Genomic DNA, 10,214 nt, shown 5'->3' with positions numbered 1-10,214 from the left:
ACTGCACTCCAGCCTGGGTGACAGAGCAAGACTCGGTCTCAAAAAAAAAAAAAAAAAAAAAAAAGGTAGCCTACCTACCTTTTTTCATTCCTACCACGTGTGGGACCCAGGTTCCTACTTCCAGAGGGAGAAAAGACCTCATTCACAAAGAGTTTTTCTGTTTAAACATGTCTACGAGCTATCGGAAGACTGACACAAAGCACTTATCCTTGTTTCACCTTCCCCAGAACTCACTCATGGTGAAAAGGGAGCAAGAATTTCCTTAAAACATTGTAAGCCAAATAAACAGCCCACAAGCATCAGGAGCAAAACGTTACTGTTGAGGTATTCAATAGTGCCCTATAAGCCAGGGAGGAAAGGCTGGGCAAAGAGTTTCTTTGTCAAATTAAGGCATTCAAAAGCACCTTTATGTACTGGGAATTTTTTTTTTTTTTTTTTTGTCTTTGAGACAGAGTCTTACTCTGTCACCCAGGCTGGAGTGCAGTGGTGTGATCTTGGCTCTCTGCAACCTTTGCCTCCTGGGTTCAAGCAATTCTCCTGCCTCAGCCTCCTGAGTAGCTAGGACTATAGACGGGCGCCACCACGCCCAGCTAAGTTTTATATTTTTAGTAGAGATGGGGTTTTGCCATGTTGGCCAGGCTGGTCTTGAACTACCGACCTCAGGTGATCTGTATACTAGAAATTTTAAAGCCATGCACATGCTCAGGGCAGGACACGTACTCAGAAAATAACTGCACAAACTCAAAGCTTTAACCTCTGGCTAATCACTACAGTCCAGCAGGAAGTGAAGGGGATGCTGTGGCTCCCTTGGGGTATGCCTACCAAGGCGATGCTTCCCTGGGGTACTTCTCCTGTATGGGATTGCACAAGGGTAGGGGACAGGACCAAGGAATACCAGGGTGCTGGGTCTCTCTAGTGGCACTAGTAGTCTCCATGAACAAACGGCTGTATTCCCAGAAGAGGCCAAGCTACTCATAGGGGATACTGTAGCTCTTCCTGCGGCTACCTAGGGCCCAAGATTCAAACACATGCCTTCCAAAAATATGGCATCATTTAGTGATGGCTCTGTGAAACTAAAAGCAGATGGGGTTCATTGGGCTGCAAAGGTGGATGGCCATCGTTTGACTCAGACTGAATACAGATGTTACAACCAACCGGCCAAACTACCTGCAGTGGTGATGGTCAAGCAGGGCCACCCCTACCACCATATTGCTACATTTTCACTGAGTCATGGGCCATTGCCAGCAGCCTAGCTAAAATGTCAGGAGAACAGCGGCTCAGTGACCAGGCTATTAAAGGATCCCCTGTGTGAGGACGAGGACTATGCCAACAGCTTCCTGTCTTAAAGGGACAAATACATGTCACTCATAGGAATACCATAGTCACCCTTGAGATAACTTATCTCATGTTTTTTGGATACTCTGTGAGATGTCCCATTAACCAAACAGCATACTTCACTGCCCAAGCAACATGACACGGGCTACACTTTCAGAGGATATGATCACAAGATATGATGGGCTTTCCATACACTCTATTATGCACAGGCCAGTGAAACCGTTAAATGATGGAACAGCTGATTCACACAGCAACTGAAGAGAGAACATCAAGACAACCTGCTGGTGGGGTGGTACCCCCACCTGACTAGGGTAATATGGGCACTAAACACAAGGAAAACACAGCATTGCAACGCATGTTGAGAAACACTGAACTTGGTAAGGGTGGTGGTGGACCAGGCAGCTCCCTAATTGGCCTGAGCCTGCAAAATCCTCATGTTTCCAACAATTCTTTTTTCGCTTTAGAGAGCATATCCTGTGGGTGGTTTGCAGTTCAGGCTGCCACAGTACCCCCAGACAGGGGGCCCTCTGACTCTAATCTGGAGGCAATGCTTCCCTTTGGTGCCTCCCTTCCCCTCTATGTGATCCCACAAGGGTGGGCGACAAAACCAAGGAATACAAGGGTGCTAGGGTCCCTCTAGAGGCAGTAGGGACATCTGATCCTTCCAGTCAAGTGGGCAGTGTTATCAGGCATGTTAAGTTTGTACAGGACATGATCTCTCTTCCTACACTGGACAACTGAGGCCAAAAGGTCTGGGTTAAGCAGCAAGGGCAAGGGGTGTCCTCAGAAGTGGCAGCCTCAGGAGAGGGACAGACAGGCTACGTCACTACACCACCTCAGCCCAATTCATATCTGATGGGTAGGAAACACCTGGGCCTCCTGGAAGGGGTAGGGGTGGGGCACGAACCTGTCAGTCTGCTTTTCCACAAGGATGTGGCAGCAGAAGCCTGGAATTGTAATGCTTTGGTGGGCTCTTTCAAGCTATGGCCATGGCAGGCAACCTGACGAAGTGTTGGATCTGCCACCCTGGACCTCCTCCTGTCACAGACCACAGCAACCTTCTCCTTCTGCCAGTGGTAAACTAAACCATTAGTCTGTTCTCATGCTGCTAATAAAGACATATCCAAGACTAGGTAATTTTTAAAGAAAAAGTGGTTTAATGAATTCACAGTTCCATGGCTGGGGAAGCCTCACAATGATGACAGAAGGTGAAAGAGAAGAAAGGCACGTCTTACATGGCGGCAGGCAAGAGAGAGAACATGTGCAGGGGAACTCCCCTTTATAAGACCATCATATCTCATGAGACTCATTCACTGTCATGAAAACAGCACAGGAAAAAACCCACCCTCATGATTCAATTACCTCCCACCAGGTCTTCCATGACACATGGGAATTATGGGAGCTACAGTTCAAGATTTGGGTGGGGATACAACCAAACTATATCAACCATTATTCCCTGAGTATTGTCAGAGTGTAAGGCAATAACACCTGAGCGTGGCTTACTAAGCAAGGATCTGGCACCTGCCACATGACAGGGAACTGGAGGTGCCCTATTAACTGACTCTGTGGCAAAATGTCACAACCACAACTAACAAAACCTTGGTGGGCAGGTACTTTCATGGACACACTCCTTTGATTACATGGACTACAAGTGTCCCAGTAGTGATAATGAAAACAAAGACCAGACTACCCCTAGCGCTCTGTGTAGGATTCATGAACAATATTGTATGGGAGAAACTGAGCTCATGCAACTATGCTATCAATCAGACTTGGCTGGTGAAAGCCAATGCATCTATCCCCTTGTATGGGCCACTGAACAATAAAATGAGGAAAGGTAAGTTATGTGCAGCCGAGGGCTACATCTTTCTCTGCAGATGGTCTGGCAGTAACCCAAATATAGGATGGGCATTGTCATGCCTGAAACTTTCTCTGCAGATGGTCTGGCAGTAACCCAAATACAGGTCGGGCTTTGTCATGCCTGAAAATCTGTAAGATAGAGGGATCCTGCATGTTGCATGTACTGGGGGTGCCCCAAGATACCACCCCTGGGAATAATGAGATGCCCCCATTTGGGCCTGCAGCCCAAAGCCATACACCAGACTTACTAGGAACCTTCCAGGAGGTAGAACTGACTGTGGGCTTATGTCCTTTATGAGATCTTTGAGACCATGCATCAGAGTCAGTGCTTAGGAAAAAGTGATAAGAAATCTGTCCCTGACCATGGCAGATATTGCTTCCTCCACTGTCACTGCCTTGACAGCCCAACAGACATCCCTCAACTCCCTCAGGAAGGCTGTTTCAGATGATATAAGTTACCTAGACTTTCTTTTAACCCAACTGGGAGGAGTGCATGCAATTGGCAATACTGCCTGCCATACCTGGATTAATACCACAGGTATGATGGAAACAAAAGTGAAGGAGATTCAGAAGCAGGTTCACTGGCCACAGACTGGAACCACCTGAAGAATTCCTCTTTCACCTCTTTGGCAATTTCTTACCTAGATTGTTTGGATTCTGGGCTAGGTCACTACTCCAGGCAGGCTTGGTCATGCTTGTGGTCGTAGTCCTCCTGAGCCTAGTGAAATGTATTCTGGCTATGGCCCAAAGGTGTTGCACTGAATGAAGATGTGTTGGTCAAGATGTTACACAAATCTGATAAGACAAACCTCCACCTCCAGATTTGGGCATATGGTTGGTGAGCATATGATATGGACTGGCTTTGCTAAGGGTAATATCTTGCGGAAGTGAGGTGGGGTGCACTGCAAGACAGTTCTCTAGGTGTCCTTGGACCAACCCCATTCTTCATCTTCCCTTACTCCCTCATAGTTCTCAAGAAGAACTGTAGAATGTGCTGGGAATGCAACACCTTGAGATGAGAGGGAGTTTGCCGGAATAGCTCAGGCTCATTCCAGCCCCATTCTAAAAACAGAATGTCCATCAATGCTTCAGCCCAATGTGGAACAATAAAATGAGGAAAGGGATATTATATGCATCCAAGGGCTACAGCTTTTATACCCCAATGTTGCCCCTGGGATACAAAACCCAGAGTGGGTTGCTTTCTGGAGTCCCTCAGCTGCAGTACAAGTAGGGCATGCACAGTCAAGGCTTCATCCATCCCAGGAAGCTTTCCAAGCCTTGGGGGGACTGACTCACAATGAATCCCAGGCATCTGCTGTCTGTTATTGCCTATCCTTAAGTAATAAATCCACTTAATGTAGCTTGTTGCATATGAGTACGTTCTGTCTCACTGGACTCAGATGACTTGATAAACCAGTACACAGTAAATTTGCTTCACAAAAACATGCAAGAATAAAAGAGTAATGTAAGCAGACATGGAATTCTAAGAAATAATCCAAAAGAAATGGAATTGTAACAGAAATGAAGAATGCCCTCAGTAGTCATATTGGTAGACTGGACACAGTTGAGGAAAGAATTTCTAAGCTTAAGGATATATCCATAAAACTTCTCAAACTGAAAAGCAAAGAGAAAAAAAGACTGGGGGAAAAAAAAGAATAGGCTGTCAAAGAACTGTGGGACAACTACAAAAGTTGTAACACATGCATAATGAGAATACCAGAAGGAGAAGAAAGAGAGAAGGGAACGAAGAAATTGTTGAAGCAATAATGACTTAAAATCTCCCCAAATTGATGTCAGACACCAAACCACAGACCCAAGAAACTCAGAGAATACCAAACAGGATAAATGTCAGTAATTATAATAATAATACTACACCAAGCACCTCATATTCAAACATCAGAAAAACAAAGAGAAAAACAAGAAAGAATCTAAAGGAGAAAACTACTTTACCTATTGAGGAGTAAAGATAAGAATTACATTCAACTCATCCTCAGAAACTATCCAAGCAACAAGAGAGTGGAGTGAAATATTTAGAGTGTTGAGAGTTCAAAACACCAACCTAGAATTTTGTATCCTGCAAAATTATCCTTCAAAAGTGAAAGAGACAAAAATTGAGGGGATTTATTGGCAGCAGACCTGCCTTGCAAGAAATCTTAATGTTCTTTGGAGAGGAGGAAAATGATATAGGTTGGGAACTCCTATCTACGTAAAGAAAGGAAGAGCACTGTAGAAGGAATAAGTAAAGGTAAAATGAAAATTTTTATTTTTTATTCTTATCTAACAGATAACAGTTTGTTCAAAATAAAAATAAAAACAATATATTTGGCAGTTATAGCTTACACATAAGTGAAACAAATAGCAGAAATGATTAAAGGAATGAAGGACAGAATTAGGAATACATTATTCTTATAAGATATTTACACTACCACTGAAGCAGAATAATGTTATCTGAAAGTAGACTTGTATTCGTTGTAAATGTGTATTACAAACTCTAGGGCAACCATTTAAAAGTGTTTTAAAAGAAGTATAATTGGACATTAGTAAGATGGTGGAATAGAAGGTAATGCACTCCTAACCCCCTAATAAGGATTCTATACCTATTCACAGTCAAAAGTCTCTCTGCAGGAGCCTCATTATTCGGGTTGGAGTTTGTGAAACCCCAGTGAGCCCAAGACCTATGAGAGTCATTTTGAGATTGCAGACCAACAGCCAGGTAGCTAATCCATTGAGTGTGCTCCCAAGTTCAAGCACAGAAATGGCCCAGTCCCACAAGGGCTTTGACTACAGCCCTGTTTGGCCTTGAGCCTACAACCAAAACCATCTTCCAAAGGTCCAGGAGGAATTGTACATACTAGGATCTTGGTGGAAAGGCTCACCTGCCTGCTGACATCAGTTCTGGCAGTGAACCTGAAAGTTGCTCTGTGGCTCAGCATTAGCCCCCCTCAGCTGAGGCCCAGCTCAGAACTGCTCACACAAGGACCCAGAGGGACACTTGCCCATATCTCACAGCTCAAGAGCCTGAGCTTCCCTGAAAGTTTTGCCAACTTCTGTCTCACAGCAGATTCCAAGGAGGCCCGGTCTCAGCTCCTGCTGCCATCAGGTAACTGTCCCATCTATGCTGAAACGTGTTGGGAAACAAAGTGCCCCCCTGATTCTTCGATATGGGCTCTCCAGCCTCCATCCCACAGCAGATCCCAAGGGGGTCCAATTCCAGCTCTGGCCTCTCTTGTTGCACAAGATCCTTGTGCAATCTCATTCCTTGGTATTTGGCCAGATGTGCTGAAAACTTATGTCCACACAAAAACCTGCACACAGATGTTCATAGCAGCTTTATTCATAATTTCAAGAACTTGGAAGCAACCAAGACATCCTTCAACAGGCAAATGGGTAAACCGTGGTACATCAGTGTTATATTATTCCATGCTAAAAAGAAACAAGCTCTCAAGCCATGAAAGACATGAAGGAACTTTAAATATATCTTAAGTGAAAGAAGCCAATCTGAAAAGCCTACATATTGTATGATTCCTACCGTAGGACATTCTGGAAAAGGCAAAACTTTGGAGACAGTGAAAAGATCAATTGTTGCCAGGGGTTTGGGAGAGGGAGGGATAAATAGGCCGAGCACAGAGGAGTTTCAGGACAGTGAAACTGTTCTGTACAATATTGTAATGGTAGATACAAGTCATTTTGCATTTGTCAAAACCCATAGAATGTACAACACCAAGAGTAAACCCTAATGTAAACTATAGGATTCAGGTGATAATAATGTGTTAATGTAAATTCATCTTCTGTAACAAAAGTACCACTCTAGTGTGGTAGGTTGCTAGTGTGAGAGCCTGCAAGTGGGAAGGTCAGGGGGCAGGGGCTATATGGGAACTCACTGTACTTTCTGCTCAACTTCACCATGAACCTAAAATTGCCCTAAACAAAATATAAAGTATATTTTAAAAATTTCTCAAGTCATATATTTTAAATACCTTTGTTTGATAAGAATCAAAACAAAGTCCATAGTTAATGTGTCTCTTAAGACTCTTAGTCTACAAATTCTCCCTCCTCTTTTTATTTCTCCCTCTTGTAGTTTATTTCTTAAAGAAACCAGGTCATTTGTCCTGGAGAGTTAGAATCCTACATTTTGGCTTTTGTTGATGGCATTATGTTTTAGCACATTCCTCTGACCCCTTGACATGGGTAAGACAGGTTTGATCAGAGATGTGCTTCGTTTTGTTTGCTGTTTGTTTTTGCAAGGTGGCATTGTGGGCTTTCAATCCATTATGTTAGGAGGTGCTTAACGACTGGCTCTCTGTTTAAGATGGTAAAATTCACTAATGTGTTTAGGTATTGTCAGCCTGGTCCAACCATTACAAAATACTTCATCAGTTTTTTCACTTAATTATTTTAACAGCTTTGGGAGGCAGAATAATACAATAATACCCTCCAAATATGTCCAGTTTTTTTTTTTTTTTTTTGAAATGGAATGACATTCTGTCGCCCAGGCTGGAGTGCAGTGGCGCAATCTCGGCTCACTACTGCAAACTCCGCCTCCTGGGTTCAAGCGATTCTCCTGCCTCAGCCTCTCAGTCTCCCGAGTAGCTGGGATTACAGGCACGCCCCACCATGCCTGGCTAATTTTTGTATTTTCAGTAGAGACAGAGTTTCACCACGTTGGCCAGACTGGTCTCAAACTCCTGACCTCAGGTGATCAGCCTGCCTCGGCCTCCCAAACAGCCGGGATTACAGACACACACACCATCATGCCCAGCTAATTTTTGTATTTTTAGTAGAGACGGGGTTTCACCATGTTGGCCAGGCTGGTCTTGAACTCCTGACCTCAAGTGATCCACCACCTCGGCCTCCCAAAGTGCTGGGATTACAGACGTGAGCCACCGTGCCCAGCCTTAATGGGTTTTTACTATCTTGAAGTTTCTCATGAGATTTAGTCAGATGTCAGCTGAGAATGCACACATATGAAGGTTTGACTGGGGCTGGAATCAGATCCATTTTCAAGATGGCTAACTCATATGACTGTCAAGTTGTGCTGGCTATTTGTGGGAGACCCCAGTTCCTCTCCATATGGGCCCCATCACAGGGCTGTTCCTGACAGCTGCCGGATTCCCCTGGACCAAGTGATCCAAGAGAATGGAAGCCAAAATGTCCTTTATGCTCTAGCTTAGGATGCCACACGGAATCATATCTGCTACTCCACTGGTCACACAGACCAGTTCTAATTCAATGTGCAAAGAAACAAAGTAATGAATACCAGGAGGTGATAAAAATTAGGGACCATCATAGAGGCTGGCTGTGAGTTTGTATGGATTAATTTTATCCCAGTTATGGTCACATTTTCCTTCTTCACATGTCTGGTACGTTTTTATTGGATGCTCCTTATGGAATATATGTCGTTGAGTACTAGATTTTGTTGCTTTCTCTAAATACTATTGGATCTGACAAAGTTATCTGTGTATCAGGTTGGTCTTTTCAAAGCTCATTTTTAGGACTTCTTAGGATGAATCTAGAACAGTCTTTAGTTCTAGGCTAGCTTTGCCCTACTACTAGGCACAACCCTCTGGGGTTTCTACTGAATCTCCCAGGTTTTCAATGAGGAATCTACATTCTGCCTGATCAAAAGTTAAACATCTCCCAGCTCTGTGAGAATGCTGGAGATTTAGGGTATACCTCTCTGGTTATGCTTTGCCTTGTCTCATAGAACTTCATCCTCTGCATGTGCCATATGTGGCTAAGTATTTAGTAATAGATTCTCTGGTCAAGCTTTGCAAAGCCTGACTTCATGGACATTTATCTTACACAGAGGTGACAAGGTATTTAGAGACATGCTAAAAGGGGCCCCGTGCAGATTTAGGAAGTGCTTTATCCCCATGGTACCTTCTACTCTGGCACTTTGACTTACATATTTTAGCCTGCCCAGAGCCCCTAAACTCTGCCCTATAAAGAAAATGCCATGCTCTGCCTGGATTTACCTTCATATTCTGTGGTTTGGAAAATGTCTCCATGAAGAAAATGAGGATGATTATAGGACTCACTTCATTTGTTTTCTGTCTTTCAGGGATCATAATTCTTCACTGTCTCTTGTCCGGTGCCTCAAAATCATTGTTTGACACACTTTGTCCAGTTCTTTTTTTTTTTTTTTTTTTTTTGAGACAAGGTCTCACTCTGTTGCCCAGGCTTAAGTGCAGTAGCACAATCATGACTCACTGCAGCCTCAACCTCCCAGGCTCGAGCAATCCTCCCGCCTCAGCCTCCAGAGTAGCTGGGACTCCAGGCGCATGCCACCACACTCGGCTAATTTTTGTAGAGATGGGGTTTCTTCATTTTGCCCAGGCTGGTCTTGAACTCCTGGGCTCAGTTTCCCAAAGTGGTGGGATTACAGACATGAGCCACCACACCCAGTCTTGCCCAGTTATTAACAATAACAGGACAAGCTCTCTTCCAATTATCTCATCATGGCTGGAAACAGATGTCCTCTATCTTTTTGTTTTCATGTTTATATCATTCATTTTGTTGTCTAACTTTACAGTCTGATTTTCTGTAGTCCATCTCCTTGAAGCAACCTTTGAAGTAAATATGAAACTTCAAATATCTGGAAATTCCCTTTTTTCTCTTAATAAATTAATAGAAATATGATACTACAAATATTTTTGTGGTTTCCTAGATAGGCTCTTAAGTCTCCTTAAATTTTTTTAAAAAACTTCCTGAACAAAGTAAGTAGGCTTTCAACACCACTGCAAAAGACACTGATACATACTATACCAATTGCCCAGAAAATTCAAAGGGAATCTTCCAAGTAACACTTTTGCCTCAAAATTTCAGAATAATTCACCACTGAAAATATTATCCTTTTATGCTGCAAGTGTGCAAGAAAGCATGACTCTCCTCCTCCATTCCCTGTATACACACGCATTCTTCCCTTCTCTGAAGGAAGATCTTTGATGTGGATGAGCAATTTAAGTATAAATTTGTTGGTTAATGTCTGTCAAAATATGTAGTTATGCTTTCTAAAGTTAAAG

Source organism: Homo sapiens, chromosome 10 (assembly GCF_000001405.40).
Source record: "Homo sapiens chromosome 10, GRCh38.p14 Primary Assembly".
NCBI lineage: Eukaryota > Metazoa > Chordata > Mammalia > Primates > Hominidae > Homo > Homo sapiens.
This window is presented reverse-complemented; position numbering follows the sequence as displayed.